This window comes from Homo sapiens, chromosome 11, assembly GCF_000001405.40.
Source record: "Homo sapiens chromosome 11, GRCh38.p14 Primary Assembly".
NCBI lineage: Eukaryota > Metazoa > Chordata > Mammalia > Primates > Hominidae > Homo > Homo sapiens.
The window spans coordinates 72,078,534-72,097,253 of record NC_000011.10 but is presented as its reverse complement, the minus strand read 5'-3'; the positions used below and the strand labels follow the sequence as shown (position 1 = coordinate 72,097,253).

General features: G+C 46.0%; 3 protein-coding genes across 40 annotated transcripts in view, besides 4 other annotated features; 1 reads left to right on the top strand and 2 right to left on the bottom strand.

The window, feature by feature from the left end:
• The window catches only part of LRTOMT (leucine rich transmembrane and O-methyltransferase domain containing), a 29,933-nt gene extending 13,529 nt beyond the window's left edge, over positions 1-16,404 (bottom strand). For 2 of the 3 annotated variants that reach the window (NM_001145309.4, NM_001145310.4), the window contains exons 1-5: positions 16,369-16,404; positions 8,874-8,957; positions 8,089-8,225; positions 3,553-3,758; positions 2,158-2,306 (exon numbers count right to left, since the gene is read on the bottom strand). In NM_001145309.4, the coding sequence (NP_001138781.1) occupies positions 2,158-2,191 (34 nt within the window). In that variant the 5' untranslated portion in view covers positions 2,192-2,306; positions 3,553-3,758; positions 8,089-8,225; positions 8,874-8,957; positions 16,369-16,404. The remainder of the gene's footprint in view (positions 1-2,157; positions 2,307-3,552; positions 3,759-8,088; positions 8,226-8,873; positions 8,958-16,368) is intronic. The other variant, NM_001145308.5, reaches the window with a different exon arrangement.
• On the bottom strand, positions 359-16,404 carry LRRC51 (leucine rich repeat containing 51). Of its 7 annotated transcripts, NR_026886.4 has the most exons (7): positions 16,369-16,404; positions 8,874-8,957; positions 8,089-8,225; positions 7,658-7,837; positions 3,553-3,758; positions 2,158-2,306; positions 359-1,875 (listed from the first exon to the last, which is right to left on the bottom strand). NR_026886.4 is itself a non-coding variant. In NM_145309.6 (6 exons), exons 3-6 carry the CDS (start codon positions 8,168-8,170, stop codon positions 1,734-1,736), a joined length of 579 nt encoding a protein of 192 aa, NP_660352.1. In that variant the 5' UTR covers positions 8,171-8,225; positions 8,874-8,957; positions 16,369-16,404; the 3' UTR covers positions 359-1,733. The 7 variants fall into 7 exon arrangements, 5 of the variants coding, with proteins under 5 accessions (NP_660352.1, NP_001138779.1, NP_001305732.1 ...); NM_145309.6 differs by lacking the exon at positions 7,658-7,837; NM_001145307.5 differs by lacking the exon at positions 7,658-7,837 and having other exon boundaries at positions 359-531.
• Positions 5,896-6,055: an enhancer, noted in NCBI's record as "active region_5180". NCBI's record gives its function as "activates an Ori minimal core promoter by ATAC-STARR-seq in GM12878 lymphoblastoid cells {active_cell/tissue: GM12878}" and the evidence as "EXISTENCE:reporter gene assay evidence [ECO:0000049][PMID:35858748]".
• Positions 15,391-16,345: an enhancer, noted in NCBI's record as "H3K27ac-H3K4me1 hESC enhancer chr11:71791955-71792909 (GRCh37/hg19 assembly coordinates)". NCBI's record gives its function as "activates a minimal SCP1, AML or CMV promoter by ChIP-STARR-seq in naive and primed H9 embryonic stem cells {active_cell/tissue: H9 hESC(naive and primed)}" and the evidence as "EXISTENCE:reporter gene assay evidence [ECO:0000049][PMID:30033119]".
• Positions 16,346-17,301: an enhancer, noted in NCBI's record as "H3K27ac-H3K4me1 hESC enhancer chr11:71790999-71791954 (GRCh37/hg19 assembly coordinates)". NCBI's record gives its function as "activates a minimal SCP1, AML or CMV promoter by ChIP-STARR-seq in primed H9 embryonic stem cells {active_cell/tissue: H9 hESC(primed)}" and the evidence as "EXISTENCE:reporter gene assay evidence [ECO:0000049][PMID:30033119]".
• Positions 16,357-16,626: an enhancer, noted in NCBI's record as "active region_5179". NCBI's record gives its function as "activates an Ori minimal core promoter by ATAC-STARR-seq in GM12878 lymphoblastoid cells {active_cell/tissue: GM12878}" and the evidence as "EXISTENCE:reporter gene assay evidence [ECO:0000049][PMID:35858748]".
• Positions 16,712-18,720, top strand: part of NUMA1 (nuclear mitotic apparatus protein 1) — a 77,679-nt gene continuing 75,670 nt past the window's right edge. For 17 of the 30 annotated variants that reach the window (XM_047427023.1, XM_047427003.1, XM_047427016.1 and 14 more), the window contains exon 1: positions 16,712-16,796. The gene's annotated coding sequence lies outside the window, so the exon portion shown is untranslated. Of the gene's footprint in view, positions 16,935-18,720 lie in introns of all 30 variants that reach the window. The other 13 variants (NR_104476.2, XM_047427018.1, XM_047426998.1 and 10 more) reach the window with 1 other exon arrangement.

Here is an 18,720-nt window from a genome sequence, read left to right as displayed (position 1 = left end):
TTTGATTACTTAGGTCTATGAGAGTAAGATGGGGGGAAGGGGACATCTTCCAGGGATATTGAAGATGAACCCAAGAGACAAGGGTTTAGGGTGTCAGCTCTTAGCTGAGACCTGGCTTGGGCTAACCTCAGACTGGATGAGACTGTTCTTGTCCCTTGTCCAGTGATGATGGGAACACTGTCAAAGCTGAACAGACCTGAATCTGAGGCAGCTTTGATTCTTGGGGGCCCTGCCTCAGACTCAATGGAATTACCAACAGCCCCTGGGGGTGAAGGGAGACATGGCGGGTTGGGGGGTGGAGAGAGAAAGCAGACCAGGCTCTTCTGGGAATACCTAATATGGAGTCAGCAAGCAAATGTTTTTAAGCAGAAGATTCTTTTTATCAAATGAAATCTTAAGCAGAATCCCAGCATATAAAACAGAATGGAATTACTTTGATCTGATTGAAGTGGGGGCTGGTTTCAGAGATCATAGGCCATCTTCTTGGCCTGTCATGGAGGCCTGTGAGGCATCTCTACAGACCCTGGTACTCTGTGAAGAGTTTGGAAATTACTGATCTACTTTAACCCCCAAATCTCTAAGCTGAAAAGTACAAAGGGGCCCAGAGAGTTAGATAAATTTCCCAAGGCTGTGTGGTAAACCCACGTCTCCAGTGTCCCAGGCCAGCAGGCCTTTCCCTCAATTGCCTCCCTTTTTCAGCAAAATAAGACTAGAGCTGGCCAGGTGCAGTGGCTTATCCTGTAATCCTAGCACTTTGGGAGGCTGAGGTGGGCAGATCACCTGAGGTCAGGAGTTTGAGACCAGCCTGGCCAACATGGCGAAACCCCATCTCTACTAAAAATACAAAAAAAGGCTGGGCGTGGTGGCTCACGCTTCTAATCCCAGCACTTTGGGAGGCCAAAGCAGACGGATCACCTGAGGTCAGGAGTTCAAGACCAGCCTGGCCAACATGGCGAAACCTTGTCTCTACTAAAATATAAAAAATTAGCTGGGGGAAGCCGAGGTGGGTGGATCACAAGGTCAGGAGATGGAGACCATCCTGGCTAACATGGTGAAACCCCGTCTCTACTAAAAATACAAAAAATTAGCCAGGCGTGGTAGTAGGTGCCTATAGTCCCAGCTACTTGGGAGGCTGAGGCAGGAGAATGGCGTGAACCTGGAAGGCGGAGTTTGCAGTGAGCCGAGATCGTGCCACTGCACTCCAGCCTGGGTGACAGAGCGAGACTCCGTCTCAAAAAAAAAAATTAGCTGGATGTGGTAGCAGGCGCCTGTAATCCCAGCTACTCAGGAGGCTGAGGCAGGAGAATCGCTTGAACCCAGCAGGCGGAGGTTGCAGTGAGCTGAGATCGCACCACTGCACTCCAGCTGGGGTGACGAGTGAAACCGTCTCAAAACAACAACAACAACAACAAAATTAGCCAGTCATGGTGGCAGGCGCCTTTAATCACAGCTACTGGGGAGGCTGAGGCAGGAGAATCTCTTGAACCTGGGAGGCTGAGGTTGCAGTGAGCCAAGATCGTGCCACTGCACTCCAGCCTGTGTGACAGAGTGAGACTCCGTCTCAAAAAAAAAAAAAAGAAAAGAAAAGGCTAGAGCTACTTGCAGTTGCCTGAGTTAGAGAACATCTCTACAAGGTGTAAGTGACTTCTCATCTGCTCAACAGCTCAAATTATTTATTGTCAAACCATGCTGTCTATGCTTAGGCCTTTAGGACTACTAGGGTCGTGGGAGCCTCAAAGTGTATTCTGCTTGGTCCAGGCCTTCTTGGGCTTGATGTTCATGCGTTTCCAGACTTCAGCTGTGGTGCGGTCTGCTTTGGTGACCCCACTGAAGTCGAACGTGGTGATACGGGACAGGGTGCACAGCACATATTGCCTGTGGGGAAGACTTAGGCTGGGGGCCAGCACCCCCACCAGAATCCCCTTCCCCCTCCACTAGTTGCTGTTGTCTTCCCTGACTGCAAGGAATGGAGGGACTTGAGCATAGTTTGGGAAAGATTAGGTTTATCCTGACTGAGAGCAAGGAATGCTTAGAGGTCTGTTACTCCCTTCCCAGGTCCAAGCATGGCAGAAGAATGGTCGTAGATTTCTTGTTTCTCCTCCTCCTTTCCTTTAGGGGAGCCCAGCTAGACGCTACCTCCAGGGGCAGGGCACTTACCTATACCCTTTCTCTTCCTCCATGGGGTTCCCATGGAGTGTCAGGCTACGGAGCCGAGGAAGGACAGCCAGCTTATTCACCTCCCCCAGGCGCTGGATGCTGTTGCCGTGAAGATAGAGGACACTCAGGTTGAAGAAAGTTGTTAGGACCTGTTGGGGAGGGAAACCAAAAGCCAGGCTAGACAGGACAGGACCCTGAATCTCTGCTCAGGGCTGACTCGTGGGCAGAGAAGGAAGAATGTGGGGAACAACCTGCCCTCCACTCCAACCCTCCACAGCCATACTGTATGACTGTAACCTACTTTTATTTATGTTTTAAGACATACAGGGCATCACACTGAAAAGGAGCTGTGATCTGAGGGTCAGGAGTGTGGGCCTGGGTACCAGCACTGCCACTGACTTGCCTCTCTCAGCCTTAGTTGCCCCTTCACTGAAGACCTTTCCAGCTTTGGTGATCTACGATTCTATCACAGCAAGCAACAGGAAGACAGAGCATCATGCTAGGCACATAAGAAGCTTTTAAAATACTGGTTAAATTGAGATCACCACACCAGGGGAATAGTGTCCAAGTCATGCTCCAGCTCCTTTCCCCTCTTAGGGATCTTGGACTAGAAAAGGCCAAACTTTATTTCTTAAAACTTGAATCTGAGTTCACAGAAAGTAAGTGCTGTACTTTATTGACTACCTCTTCCACAGGAGAACCCAGCACAGGTCACAGTGGGTGCGCAGTGACAGTTAGAATTTTACTTCAGCCTCTGATGTACCAGTTGTTTGTTGGTTTTCATGTATTTTCTTTTCTTTTTTTTTTTTTTTGAGACGGAGTCTCACTCTGTTGCCAGGCTGGAGTACAGTGGCGCAATCTCGGCTCACTGCAACCTCTGCCTCCTGGGTTCAAGTGATTCTCCTGCCTCAGCCTCCCGAGTAGCTGGGACTACAGGCGCCCGCCACCACGCCCAGCTAATTTTTTGTATTTTTAGTAGAGGCGGGGTTTCACCATGTTGGCCAGGATGGTCTTGATCTCTCTTGACCTTGTGATCCACCCACCTCGGCCTCCCAAAGTGCTGGGATTACAGGCGTGAGCCGCTGTGCCCGGTGGTTTTCATGTATTTTCATTCAATCCTCACAAAACCTTTATGATACTGGCATATTATCCCCATTTTTCCGACAGGGAGGCTGCAGTTTTGAGAGGTTAGGTAGCTTGCTCAAAGTCACAGTCAGTAAGAGGCAAACCCAGGATTTGAACCTACATCTATCTGTCTGGCCCCCTAGCCTTGTGCTTTGGACTGTACCATGCTGCCTCATTACTTCCTTGATAACATGTAGGAGTGGAGAGGTTGGGGGCTGAACAAAGTGGCTTCAGGCTCCCCTGACTGGATTCCTACTGTTAGGAACTCACAGGGTCAATGGAAGTCAGGTCATTAAAGGACAGGTCGATCCAGGCCAGGTTCTCTGGGTGCTCCAACAGCTGTGAAGCCACCTGGTTGAAGTCTCTCAGATCATTGAGAACATTGTTATTCAGCCACAGGGACTGGGTCAGTGATTTCCCCGACTTTGAACGCTTCAGTGGTCGTAGTCCTGTCCTTGGCTCCTCATTTACCAGATCTGTGGGGACAAAGTGAGACTTGGGTATCATCTTTGCTTTTTTGGCTTTAGGGGGTGGGAAGGGACAGAGCTGGAAAGATTAGCCATCCAGGCTGTAGCTGGAGGGTCTGGAAGGGCCATAGCCCTGTGCCTGAGTCTAGTGCAACCCTGTCCCACAGCTTCCAGCAATCAGTAAGTTTAGACTAAGGGCCAGAGACTTCTATCTCAAGCTCTTGGCTTTCCAGGTCACATGGACTTCTCATGTCCACTGTACCACTGGGTCTTTTTTATACCAAACCAGTGTGGGGTTGAGGAAAACTAAGAACCAGAATTGTTGGGCTTGAGCTGAGTAGATGATAGCACAAAATCCTGAATTAACTACTGGTAAAGCCTATAGAATTCACTTCAGTGGAATACACTTTGATATCCTGTCTCTCTTTCCATGAATGTTGAGTACCTACAGTATGCCAGGTACTGGATATACAGTGATAAACAAAATGAGAGACAGTCTGTTCCAGACTTTGTATGAATAATAGGGCAGAGAGCAGACATTTGTGCCTTGGAGGAGCTTATATGGGCAAGATGGGAGCAAGCTGGCAACATGGTGTGATAAGTGCTATATAATAGTTGTAGCAGCACAGAAGAGAGGCTATTGACCCAGTATGGGAGCTCAGGGAAGTTTCCCAGGGAAGGTGAAGCCTGAGCTGAATCTCCATGGATTAGGGGATGTTTATCAGGCAAAGAAGGGTAAACAGGCAGGGAACAGCATGAAGAAAGGTATAGAGGTACAGAACAGCCAGGGAGTCTGGGGCGGGTTTGTGTGCCTGCACAAGTGCTTGCACGCACTGCACAAGGGGGACAGAGAGGAAAAGGAGGCAGGAATCCAGTCAAAAGTCTCAAATGTCAGGCTAAGGATCTTGGGCTTTACCCTGTGTGTAATGGGAAGGCACTGGAGTGTTTAAAGCAAATGATTCAAATCTTTTATTTCAGAAAGATCACTCTTAAGTGTCAGTGTGGAATATGGATTTTAGGGAGTGAGTTGGACCAAATGACCAATTTGGCTGTTTGAGTCATCCAAGCAAGACATGAGAGGGCCCTACAATCAACATAATTTGGTTGACTGGATGTAAAGGTAGAAGAATATTAAAGGGTGGTTGCCAGTTGTATTAACTGGTAAGGAATTACAGAAGAAGAAATAGCATTGGGAATGTGATGAGTTCAGGCTTAGCTTTGGTGTATTTGAGGTTCCTGTACAAAAAGGTGGAGAAGTCAAGTAGGCAGTTGGAGATGAAGGTCGGAAGCTCAGGAGACACAGACTTGAGAATCATTAGCATAGAAGGCATACAAGTTAGGGAAAGAGATGAGATTCCTCAGGGAGAGTGAGGGTAGGGAGGAAGGTCAGGGAGGAAGAAGAATCCATTAGAGAAGTTAAATGATCAGGGAAAATCAGGAGAGGACAGTTTAAAGATGTTCAGGGAGTAAATAGTTTATAGTAGTAAGTTCCAGGGAGGTAAGGACTGAAAAGTAATTTTGGCAACTTAGAAGTCCCTGGTAACCTTGGTAAGGGCTGCTTCAGTGGAATGGCAAGGGCCTGGAGGCAGAAGCCAGATTGAAGTGAGTGAGTTCAAGAGTGAATGGAGGCTGGTTTCATGCCTGTAATCCCAGCACTTTGGGAGGCCAAGACAGGAGGATTGCTTGAGCCTAGGCGTTTGAGACCAGCCTGGGCAACATCATGAAACCCCGTCTCTACCAAAAAAAGAGTGAATGGATATAAGCAGTTAGCATAAACAACATCCTCAGAAAGTTTGGCTGAGGAGGAGAGAGAATAGGGAATAGGATTATGTTAGAACCCCGGTGTATGGAACACCCCAAAGCCTCACTCCCACTTTTTCAAAATGAGGTCCAGTTCCCATTGCTGCTAAGCCTTTGGTTCCCTAGTTCACCCCTGGGGAAGGAAGTATTTAGTATTTGCGGAAGCTAGCCAGCTTTCTTCACTCTCTTCTGCTCTCTACTGGAAGGACACCCTTTGCCCTTCCACCCCCACCTCTCCTCCTCCTCAGATGCAGGTCAGGCAACATCCACCAGATGGCTCTCTGCCTTAATCCTAGAGTGAGCAGGACCCACAATTGGGGCCTGGGGTTGCAGGAGGGTACTGGAACGGCGTACCCCAGCTCATGAATTCCTAATCCTGCTTCCCTCCCCATACCTCCTTAGAACCCTGAAACAGAATGACACAGATGAATCAAAATTAAGGTCAAAATAACCCCACATGAACTAGTGCCCCATGTGATAAGGTAGCAGCTTGGGGAATGCCACCAAGCATGGGGTGGAGGCCAAGCTCAGAGGGAATCACTGGTGGGACAGAGTTGCCTAAAACTTGATGCTGGCTGGAGCTGCTCTTACCAAGGATGGAGTGGTATATCCAGGCTGCCACAGGTTGCTGCTCCTCTCAGATTCCACCAATGCACTACACTGCCTAAGAATCTGTAAAGTTCCTTGTTCAGAGTAGGCCAAAGCAGGTCTGGAAGCTGGACCACAAATATCAATGCTTTGGGAACTGGGGAGCATTTAGCTCCAGGAAGATCTGGGAAACTATGTTCCTGTTTTCCTCTCTCTGAAAGGCTGCCATGTAGCTCTTGCCATGTGTCAGAATACAAGTTAGTTTGATTGAACTTCCCTGTGTCATCCCTCAACCACCAACTGGAAGGTGTTGGTAGGTGTATATGGTGGGGGACTTCCTTAACACTCTAGGTTTGTGAAAAGTTAGAGGAACTGGGTTGATGGTAGCACAGATTAGATGCCTTCCAAAGGCACTGCCGTTTCAGATTCTGTAATATTTATTCATTCACCAAATAGTGTGCCAGGTACCCCCAAACTCTATTGTATCCCTTAACCCCAGCTGTAAATAAGTGTTTCAGAAGCTCTGGGGAATCTGAAGGGACTCTGACCTTTTGGGCCTTTGATGTGCCTCACATACCTAGCAAGGAGCACAATACCTGGCATATACATATGACGCACACACACACACACATATATAAATGCTTTTAGTAAGTGCTCAGTAAATATTGAACGGTTGAATGAAGGATGGGCCATCTGTACCATTTACGTTTTGTGATGTAGAGTTACCCTTGGTACTGCTTGTCTCTCTCCCAATTCTGAGGACTCCATAGAGGGCAGAGCTACACCTCCTCCATCAGAGTTAGAAATTCCCATGATAGGTAGGAGGTATACTTCCTTCCCACCTCTGTCATTGCACCTGTCTTAGAGATAGTTACTATTGCAGCTAAAACCCCTTGTGAAACATGGATTACATCAGAAGTGATGCAGTGCACAATAAAGATCACAGCAGGTGGCTGTGTGCTCGTGAGAGAACAAACGTGAGTTACCACTGTGGCTGATGATAACCCAAGTAGACCCTAAACCCAATCTAAGACTGGTGCTATTTGCCAGCTTCCCGAGCTTAAAGGCAGTGGCTACCAGTTGCCTGAGAGAAGACTAAAGCCAAATAATAGTTCTGAGATAGTGGATGTTAACGTGTATTCTGTGAGGACAGATGGACTGATGCTTTAATGAAAGACCAGATAACAAAAGCCAGGGATGGCAGAACTTCCCTAGGAAGAACGGATGACTCATTGGGAATATGACATGGCTGACAGCCTCCCTATGTTCCCTCCTGAAGGGACTAGCTACCCATTTACAAAGACATTGAATGGCAAAATGGGAGCGAGTGTGGACAGTGTTGGAACCTGCAATAAGTGTAGGTGATGATGGAATAAACTTGGATTTGGCTGGAATGAGTGTAAGAAATTTGTCAGTAAGTATTTAAACTGGAAATATGCCAGTTTGTAGATAAGACCCCTCATGTTTGGCCAGTCAGATTAGGCTTGTGTCTGCAGACAGAGGAGAAAGGTTTTGCCTACTTGCTGGGACTCCACAGGAGCCTGTGTTTTCCTCCTCTCTTCAGGTAAAAACAGGAGAATAAAACTATTGGCTGATAGACTGGCTTCCCAGTTTTCTTCCACTTGACTTTCCTGCTGTAGCCTGGCTTCTTTTAAAGATGATCAACTACTGTGATAGCCCCCTGTTTCCTTTCAGATTTGCTGCTTAAAAAAAACAAACAGGGGCACATGTTCTTAGGATCTCCTGGGGCTGTATCGGGGCAAAATCAAAACAAACAAAAAGACAGAAAAAAACCTCTCACTCTCCCCTACCCTCCAAAAGACAGTAACAACACATCTGCAAGCATATGGGAAGAATCTCTTTAGGCTTTTAAGTAGATTATGGTTTCTTCCTAGGGACCACACTGGGCCTGCTGCCTTAGTGAGTGGAGTACTGTGCTCTGGGGGCTGACCTTGAATGACGTGGATGCTTCTGAAGGAGTAGTCAAGAGGGGGCTCCTGTACCGAAGTGTTCATATAGTCCCGTTTGTTCATAGTTCAGGCCATCATTCAAAGGTGCAAGCAGGTGCCCTGGGAGTCTGGGTTCAGCCTGGGAGGACAGAGAAAGACCAGTGTTTCAAGTACACCGGCTTTCAGGTTTCCCCATAGTCCTCCATCCCTGCTTTCTGTCCTCTACTACTCTAGGCCTGCCTGGCTGTATTTCCATTTTAAGATATGAAATCACTCTTCCTTGCATCCTTGCATGTATAGAGCACTTTCTACTTCTCAGAGCACCTTCACATCTCTTAGAACTCATTTGAGAATCGAACACCCATTTCTTTGTCTGGAAAATGCCAGATGAAGAAACTGAAACCCAAGGGGTAAAAGGACTTGCCCAGAGTTAAGCCAGTGAGTCAGTTGTAGACTGCAGTCATAATCTCCTGAATCCTACTCTGAGACCTTTTCTGTTACTCTACAGTAGTTACTGTGGAGACTGTCTTGATACCCACCCTCTGTTGACATCAACTGGGCTATTCTATTGCTTAACAAATCCTTGAGGGCCTGCACCGCATCTGGTTGGTGTCTCACCACCCCTCTCAGTCTGGCCCAGCTGGGGATTTGCCACCTTCTCCGCTTGGCTTCTCTGCCAGCCCCATTACCTTTCCATCCAAATACCCTACTTTCAGCCCTATCCTGAATGTAGCCATACACATATAAACATACACACACACAAAACCAGAGTCTACCTCTCACTCACCTGTCACTGATGGCTGAAACTCCACCATTAGGCATTCATTCCTGTGGGTTCAGGGATTGTTTCCGGTTAAAATGGAAATACTCCCTGACAGGGATGAACACAATGTTGTTATCAGTCACTTGCAATGTGGTGTGAATTGTCTTATCAGATCGTTTCCAATTTGTTAGCTAAAGTAAAGCTGAGGTTTTTCTGGAGACAAGGGAGAGCCATGAGAATACTACTCACCTGGGATGAAGAGAGCTGACAACACACTTTACCAAGGGGTTTGTATGTGAATCACACAAGCAAAAGACAAATTGACAAGGATAAGGACAAGAACTTGCCCCAGTCGACCTCCCCTTTCTCATTCCATCCACTGCTGCCACCTTTGTATTATTATTTGTATTACTTCACCTGCTTTCCAAAAGGATTTCAGGTTTACAATAATAACACAGTCATAAAACAGATGATTTGCAGAATAGTGCCATCCACTAGAAATATAATGTCACAAATGCAAGCCATATATATAATTTAAAATTTTCTAGTAGCCAAAATAAGTAAAATGAAGTGGTGAAATTAATTTTAATAACTTAATTTTACCCAATATATCAAAAAATCATTCAATATGTAATCAATATTAAAACTTACTGAGATATTTTACACTTACAGCACATCCCAATTTGGACTAGCCTACCTGTCAAATGTACGTGACTAGTGGCTACCATACTGGACAGTGCAGATTAGAAAGTTAAAAATGGAAGAGAAAGATCAGAAACTAGATTACAGGAAGAGAGAGATGTGCCAGGCACTTTAAGAATCTAAGCCTACATTTAGCTCTGAAATTCCTGGCAGCCAAAGCAAAAAGAGAAACCTTGGGATTGCAGTTCTCATCATTGGATTCAAAGGATAAATTAGTTTGCAGAGACAATGAAATTGGCAAACAACTTTAAAATGGAATTTATTACTCGGGAGGCTGAGGCAGTTGGATTGCTTGAGCCTAGAAGTTGGAGGTTGCAGTGAGCTATAATTGTGCCACTGCACTCCAGCCTGGGCGACAGAGCAAGACCCTGTAGACCCTGTCTCAGGAAAAAAAAAAAAAAAAAAAAAAAAAAAAGAATTTCTGTTAAAAACCAAGGACCTGATATCTTATAATTCAGTTTAAGCCTAATACAGTTCATGTAAATTCCTTTTTTGGCAATTTAACATATACATGGATCAAGTTTAGTAGGTTTAGAGGAAAATGAATGTCTTGTTCTGAAAAAATAGCAGTACCAGCTGAGCTTTGGGGAGGTGACAGATTGAGTCACTTCACAGCTTAATTCTGTTATGAACTGGTCCCATGGGCATGGATTGTCAATTAGGGAGACTTGAATCTTTTAGATATTAAATCTACAGGCAGACAACAAAGAACACATTATTCTTTTGTAAAAATAGAGGAACCTGGCTGTCTACTACAGAACTAGAGGAACCTAGCTTAGATAGAAGCTCATCCCACTTCAGCACCTACAGCAGATTTGATACCTTTGAGCAAGATTGGATACTTTTCTCAAAGTAAATACTGGGTTGGTACCCCAGAGTTATGCACCACTGAACATGGATTTTAACTTAAAATACTTAAGGGCAGATTTTTACTGTTAGTTTTCTTGACAGAGCAACCCAGTGCAGTTCCTAAAGACTTCTGATTTTGTGTAGCACCAGCTCCTGTTGCATTTTCTGAATGGATTAGTATTAAAAATGGAGCCCCAAGAAGCTGGTTAAATTTTTAGCCTTCTGCATTTAAGCTGTAGCCCAGGCTGTGAGCTAGTATCGCATCTTATTCATTATCCAACATAGAACCAGGTTTACAACAGGCACTCAAAATGTTTGTGGGATGAATGAATGAGAAACTGCCAATTCTGAGGATTTCTGTTTCAGAAGAGTTGATGCTAAGCTGTTCTTTCTAACAATTGGTTCCCAGGTTCAGCTGTTTCAGTCCACACCTTGTTCACAGTAAGATATTCAATTCAATTCAGCAAACATTTGTTGAGTGCTTGCTGCTCTGTGCCTGACCAGAAGAAATGAAGCCAAGATACAAATAATAGAACCCTGTCATGAGCACAGAAAGACCTGCTGAGTTTCTATTGATTGTGGTAAACCAGCCTGCATCCAGTTCCAAGTAACAGCTGCCCACTTAGTGAATACTCTCTCATGTTTCAACACTCAGTTCTAGTGTAGCCTCTTCTATAAAGCCTTTCTTTTCCAGATAAAATTGGTTAATGTGTCCTGTGTTAGGCTGATTGTTTTGATGATCCCTATTCATGGTCTCCCCTGTATCCATCTCTTTTTGCCTATAACATTGTAGTCCCATCTCACTCTGATGCTGGGACCAGACATGTGACTTGTTTTAGCCAATGAGATGTCGATAAACATGAAGCAAACAGAAGCTTTAAAGGAGGCCTGCCCTCTTGCTCTTTGCCAGTGCCATGAGAACATGGCTGATCAGCTGGAGGGTTATGAGATGTGTAGGTGAGAGACATGCAAAAGAGCCAGAGATACCAGCTGAAGCCATCCTAGACTAGCCCACAGTCAGCCTACCCCCAGTCAAGATCAGGAGAGTCACCCAACCCACAGATGACTGCCGACACATGAGTAAGCCCAGCCAAAGCAGAAGAACCCTCCAGCTGACTCTAAGACTTAGAAGCAATAATAAATGTTTATTATCTTAAGCCACTGTGTTTTGGGATGGTTTATTACACGGCAATAGCTAACTTCTGCATGCCCCCACTGTACTTCAAACAAAATTTTATTACAGCTTGTTTACTCATCTGTGAAATGGAGACAAACCCTACCTTGAGAACTATTGTACATCTGGCATCAGGTGCTCAATAAATGGAAGCAGTTGTATTCTCTGTTAATTTCATTATAACCAACTTTGTTTACTCCCTATAAGCTTGAGGACAGGGACAAGACTCAGACTTCTTTCTCCCTTCTCATCATTACCCTGCATTGAGCCTGGCCAAAAAAAAAAAAAAAATCCATATTCACTAAAGGTTTGATGGACAAATGAAAATGGATGGACAATGGAAAAATGAAAGAAGAAATGAAGGAATTAATGGAGTCTTCAAGGTGTCACATAGAGAGCTTGACTGCTGGGGAGAACTGACAAAGTGTTGATGCTGCCATGCTTACTCCTGTGGCTGTGTTTTTGGAGTCAGTCTTTCCCATCTGCTATTCTGGCTTATGACCAGGAGGTAATCAGATGCCAGCACCTTCATCTGTCCAGACTGACTAACTTGATGAATGACAGGGTTAGGGGCATACCTGCCTTGTTTCGGAACTGGAATTTCTCATTTCCAAATTGACAGTATCTTTAACTGTTTTGTTTTTTAACTGTAAAAGCTAATATGATAGATGAATAAAGTGAAATGACAAGAAGTACATCAAATAGAAACTCAAAGTTTGAATCTCCATTAACAGTTTGGGAATATAACCTAGAATGTATAGCTAATAAGGTTTTACACACACACACACACACACACACACACACACACACACACACACGGTTTTCTTTTTTTTTTTTTTTTTTGAGACAAGGTCTCGCTCTGTTGTGCAGGCTGGAGTGCAATGGTGCTACCTCAGCTCACTGCAACCTCTGCCTCCTGGGCTGAGGCAATCCCACCACCTTAGCTTCCTGAGTAGCTGGGACTACAGGCACACGTCACCACACCCTGCTAATTTTTGTATTTTTTGTAGAGACACAGTTTTGCCATGTTGCTTAGGCTGGTCTCAAACTCCTGGGCTCAAGCTATTCACTCACCTTGGCCTCCCAAAGTGCTGGGATTACAGGTGTAAGCCACTGTGCCCAGCCTAGATTATGTATATTTTTAAATAAACAATATTCCTTTGTAAACCTATTTTTTAATTTTCAAATTGTTGTAGACTATTACCCTTTTTAATAGTTGCAAAGTATTTTATACTATGTATCGTACTTTAATGTTATTCACTTAATTTATTTAACCAATCCCAAGTTGACAGAAAACTGTTTTCAGTTTTGGGAAATTACTAACATTTGGAATTTGATTTGTTGCTAGCCTATTCCTGCCCTCTCTCAGGCAAGTTGCAACATGATAACACAGGAAGCTTTGAGGAATAATCACATAAATCTGATAGGAGATTCAACAGCCTGGCCCGAGAGTTTCTGATGATGGACTGATGGTGGAAAAAAAATCAAAGGCTGCTATGAAAAATCTGCCACATATTTAGCCAGGCATGGCAGCTCACGCCTATAGTCCCAGCTACTTGGGAAGCTGAGGTAGGAGTATGGCTCAAGCCCAGGAGTTCGAGGCTGCAGTGAGCTATGACTGTGCCACTGCACTCCAGTCTGGGCAACAGAGCGAGACCCTGTCAAAAGAAAAAGAAGAAAAATCTGCCACATAATCTAATATATTCTGGGAGGTTATATTCCCAGGTGCCAAAAGGAGGACCAAGATTCAACCTGGCTCCTGTCCACCCCCCTCTACTACCATCTCATCCTCAACTCCAATTCTGCAGTCTAGCCAAATGCAACCACTCACCATAAGTTCCCTGCACCTGCCACTGGGCCTCTAAGTGGAACAGTGTCTCCTTCCAGCTCTGTCTGCTTGGAATATAGTTTTTCTCTCCTCCTTTTGCTTTGCTAATTCTTATTTCAGGGCTCAGATCAGGTTTCAACTTTTCTGAGAAGTCTACCTTTATCCTCAAATCTGTAATTGTAGTGCTATGATTGCCATGGTAGCACTCGTAACACTGTAATTATCTGCTTACTATCTGTATGTCCATAAACACCAGCAGGGCAGAAACCATATTTTTTCTTACAGTTGTATCTCATAGTGCCGGCAAGTAGTAGGTGCTTAACAAACACATTAAAAATTGCAACTAAATAATACTACAAAGGAGAGGGCCATGAGGTTGCTGTAATTGAGGGATCTGACCTGGTCTGAACAGTCTACAGGAAGACATTCCTGAAGAAGTGACTGAGAGAAATCTAAAGGATAAGTACAAATTAACTTATGGGGTAGGGGGTGGTGTGGAATGAGCATTCCAGGCAGATGTGACTGCTATATGCAAAGGTTCTATGGTGGAAGGGTACTTGGAAATTTTGAAGACCTTAAAGGTTATATAACTGAAGGGGAGAGAAGGATGAATATGTATGGTTAGACTGGAGGCTGGAGAGATGGGAGCAATAGGAAACCACATAGTATTAATATTAAATGGGGGCTGGCTGGGCGTGGCGGCTCACGCCTGTAATCTCAGCACTTTGGGAGGCCAAGGTGGGCAGATCACCTGAGGTCGGGAGTTCGAGACCAGCCTGACCAACATGGAGAAACCCCGTCTCTACTAAAAATATAAAATTAGCCGGGTGTGGTGGCGCATGCCTGTAATCCCAGTTACCTGGGAGGCTGAGACAGGAGAATTGCTTGAAACCGGGAGGTGGAGGTTGCTGTGAGCCGAGATTGCGCCATTGCACTCCAGCCTGGGCAGCAAGAGCGAAACTCTGTCTCAAAAAGAAAAAAAAAAAATTGGGGGTGGGGTAGAGAGTGAACAGTATCAGCTTTGCATTTTGAAGGATCACTCTGGTTGCAGTGCGCAAATATGGCTGGGAGGGAAGGCAGGAAGGATGTGATGGTAGCTAGGACCTATATAAAAGATATTCAGGAAGTAAAGCTGATAAGACTTAGTGATAGATGGGAAATGGAAGAGGTATTAAGTAAATGGAAGAGGTACTAACTTGGGTTTTGGGCTTGGGTATATTGTGGATAAAGGTAGGAGCACTGGAAGAGATCCAGGCTTGGAGGAAAAGGTTGGGATACACAGAGATTGTTTCAATTTCAGAAATGTAGAGTTTGGGTTGCCTTTGAGGTATCCTAAAGGAGATGTTGAGGCAATTGGCTATATAGATCTGGAGCTTAGAGATGAGGGCTGGGCTTGAGATACACACTTGTGTACATTTGCATACAGGTGGAAAATGAAGTTGTGGGTGTGGAGGGGTACCCAAGAAGAGAATATAGAGTGCAGTGGCAAGAGGGCGTAGGACCAAACCTGGGAGAACTTTAAGGTAGTAAGTGGACCAGTCAGGGCCAGCTAGTCACCAGCTAGAAACCAGCTAATCATGGTCACTTCAGACATGGGTGCTGTGTTAGCCCTTCTGTTTCCTGTTTAGTTAAAAATGTTCAAGTCTCATTGTCTTAGTCTCTCTAGTTCCTTTTCCCCATTAAAAGTTTCAGGGGAGGATCTGAAATTCATTCCAGCTGAAGTGTAAATAATACAAAGTAGGCCACACAGGTTCCTTTTCCCTGGGGCAGTTTAACTTGTTCCTTGGAACAAGTCCTTCCGCTATAGAGGCAGTAGGCTGAAGCTAAAGAGACTTAGCTGGAAGTCGGAGAACTGGAGTCTAGTTCTAGCTCTGTCACTAATTTGGTGTGTGGCCTTGGGCAAGTCCCTTTTCTCTGGGTTTCAGTTTTCCAATCTGTGAAATGAAGATAAATATCCTTGACTCACAGAGCTGTTAAGAGTATCAAAAGAGAGACTGTGAAAGCACTGGGTAGGTTACTAAATGTAATAGATCTGTCGTGAGTACTAAAAAAAATGAAGCTCTAACTGTAGAGCTTTGAGTAGCGGACCACGGAGAAGGTGTGGGGAGAAAAGGGAATCTGGGGACAGATTGAGAAGGGGTTTTACTCCTTGGAAGAAGAAGGAATGAGGCACTTCACGCCCCAGGAAGTTTCCTACATCTCTAGAATTAGGGTAGCGACTGCGATTTACTCAATCTAATGCTAACCGCATGTCTTGGAAGAGGGTCTCAGTTCCTCAGAGGAAAACCAACCCCATTTCTGAGGGCGTTTCTGATCTCCCAGGTTATGCCTGGAACTTGAAGCATCCGATTTTGGGAGCTTTATGTTTGCGTTGGGGGCGGGGTTCGTTGTTTTGTTTTGTTTTTGTTTTGTTTCGTTTTGTTTTGTTTTGAGATGGAGGTATCGCTCTATAGCCCAGGCTGGAGTGTAGTTGCGTGATCACGGCTCACTGCAGCTTCAATCTCCGGGCTCAAGCGATCCTTCTACCTCAGCCTCCCTAGTAGCTGGGGCCACTGGAGCGCGCCACCAAGCCCGGCTAATTTTTTTATGTTTTTGGTAGAGACAGGGTTCGCCATGTTTCTCAGGCTGGTCTCGAACTCCTGGCCTTAAGTGGTCCGCCCGCCTTGGTCTCCCAGTGTTGGGATTACAGGCGTGAGCCACCGCTCCCGGCCCTGGGGGTGGTTCTTAAGCATCCCCAAATCTGTATGGATATATATCTCAACGCCTATCCCTCCCTCTGCTCCCCCTCGCCCAGTCTGTCCCATGTGAGTGTTGTATCTTGTTCGCTGTGAAAGGTGATGAGGGTCGGTGGGGGAAATCTCAGATCCCCGAGCAGGAAGGTTCTTAGTCGTTCTGTGAGTGCCCCTCCCTTCTCCATAGATCTCTTGTCCCCTAGAACGGGTTTCCTGTTTTCCCGCCCGACTCACCCGCAGTCGCTTCCTCTCCAGTCTTGGCGTCCCACTGCCTCAGGGTTACTCAGAGCAACTCCATGGCAACTGCTTTCGTCACCACAACCCGGCAGGCGCCATAAGTACTGACGCGATGCTTACCGGGACCTTCAGTTTGTCAGGGGCGGGGCTTCAAGGCCGCGGGTGACGCTGGGATTTGTAGTTCTCTTTGCCTTCAAGTACAGGCCGGGGTCCGGAAGCGGTGATACCCCTTCTCTTTCCCAGTGGCCCTCAAACTTCCTTTTCCCGGGTCCTTAAGCGGGCCCCGCCGACAGAGGCCAATCAGAGGGCAGCGCGAGGGGGCGGGGCCATAGTTTAAACTAATTGTGCGCTCACAGCGCTGGCGCGAGCCCACGAAGAGGTACGATTCCGGAGAATCGCGAGGCAGAGCGGGAGCGCGCAGCCAGGTAACCGGCGCGGGCCCGCGTTTGGCGTGCGGCCTGGGCACCCCTGCGGGTGCTCAGGCCTAAAAGGGGTGCTGGAGAGGCCGCTGCGAGCGGAAGGCCTCCTCCATAACCGAGTCCGAAAGGGCAGAATCTATGGGGGTAAGGTTTGTGAGGAGAGGCGCCTGAGAGGGAGGAGCCGGGGGGGGGGGGGGTGCCTTAAAGGGGAGGGTCTGTTTGGGGGCGTGTCTGTGGAATTAAATCTGAAGGTGACTGGGGTCGGGGGTATAGGGCAAGTTCCCGAAAGGCTTGTAAGCGAGGGGTCGGGTCCTGGAAAGTCTTTGCCTTTTATCGTTAACAATAGCAGTAGTTATGGTAGTGCAGTAGTCAGCATTTTCTGAGCTACACCGTCCACAATGACCTGCCAAATGTTTATCTTTTTAATCTTCTAACCACCTGTTATACTTTAAAGATGGGGAGCCTGAGGTTTATAATGTTTAGCTTGGCCCGGGTTACGTAGCCAGTGCGAGGTTGGCTCTACTTTGGGTTTATGGGTTGGGCATAAATGGGGACGGGGAAGGTGCTTTGTGGGGGCGCGCGTTGTCTTGGACTGGTCAGTGTATTTTGAGCCTCACTTTTCATATATGTAAACAATGACCTTACCTGCCTTACCTACTTCCTGGGGTGGTTGTCCTGGTCAAAACAGGTTAAGTCTTTTTTTTTTTTTTTTTTAATTTTTGTTTGTTTTTGTTTTTCATCCATGGACTCTCACAGATAACATGTTTCATACACGCACCTCGGAGAGTACAAATTTATGACTATAAGTGGTGTGACTGTGTGAAGATTGTGGGTGGGCGGGAGCCCACTGGGTTGATGCTGCCGCCTCTGGGTACTCTCTTTTGCTTACCTCTGAGTTAGCACTTGTCATTTTTTTTTTTTTTTGAGACGGAGTCTCGCCCTATCGCCCAGGCCGGAGTGCAGTGGCGCGATCTCGGCTCACTGCAACCTCTGCCACCCGGGTTCAAACAGTTCCCTGCCTCAGCCTCCCGAGTAGCTGGGATTACAGGCGCCCGCTACCACACCCGGCTAACTTTTGTATTTTTAGTAGACACAGGGTTTCACCATCTTGGCCAGGCCGGTCTTGAACTCTTGACCTCGTGATCCGCCCGCCTCGGCTTCCCAAAGTGCTTGGGATTACAGGCGTGAGCCATCACGCCCGGCCTGCCATCTGGTATTTTAAAAGTCTGCGTGTTTGTCTGCCCTTCTAGATAACGAGAGACTTTTTCGTCACTGTATCCTAATGGCTAGGCAGGATTTGCGACATGTAATGGGAATAAATGTATGCTTTGGAATAATTTCTTGGGCTGAAAGGGCACAGGAATTTCGCTTTCCCGTTTTCATTTAGTGGCATTTGAACCTCAGTATTAAGCTGTCCTCTTTACTGGAATGGCACTCCCTCTTGAAAACGTGATGATATTTTCTTGCTTTAATACATAATTCCCTCTCTCTAGTATCTGTTGCCTGGTTCTATGTTTCCAAACTTCTGGGTTGTCTGGTCGTTAAAGCTTTAATGGTAAGGGAGTTGGGCCTCTCTGCTTTGTGGAGATCTTTACTGCTGTGAATATATGGGAACCTGGGGCGAACATGAGGATCATGTAAGGTAGCTTTCTGTCAGCACAGATGGGTTTATGTTTCCTCAGTCCCTCTTTCTGTGTGGTATTTTCTTCTTTAGAGGAAGAACCACATACTTTTTTGTGAAAGCTTCCAAAGTATTCTTTTCGTAGCCTAAGTTCTAGCAAGGGATGACTAATTGTAATGTCTAAGCTCTTAGTTCACAGCGAAAAGCGGTACATTCCAAAAGCTTAAAGATCTTACCTGAAAGCTCGTTAAGAAACGTAGAATTCTTTTTTACATGTGGAACATGGAAGTGGGAAGAATGCCTTGAAAT

Coding starts and splice junctions, on each gene's coding strand:
- LRRC51 (NM_145309.6), bottom strand. CDS start 8,170: ATGAACAAACGGGACTATATGAACACTTCGGTACAGGAGCCCCCTCTT. Junction 2,307..3,552: donor ACCTGACTTCCATTGACCCT/GTGAGTTCCTAA, acceptor CCTCCCCAACAG/GTCCTAACAACTTTCTTCAA. Junction 1,876..2,157: donor GAGGAAGAGAAAGGGTATAG/GTAAGTGCCCTG, acceptor TCTTCCCCACAG/GCAATATGTGCTGTGCACCC.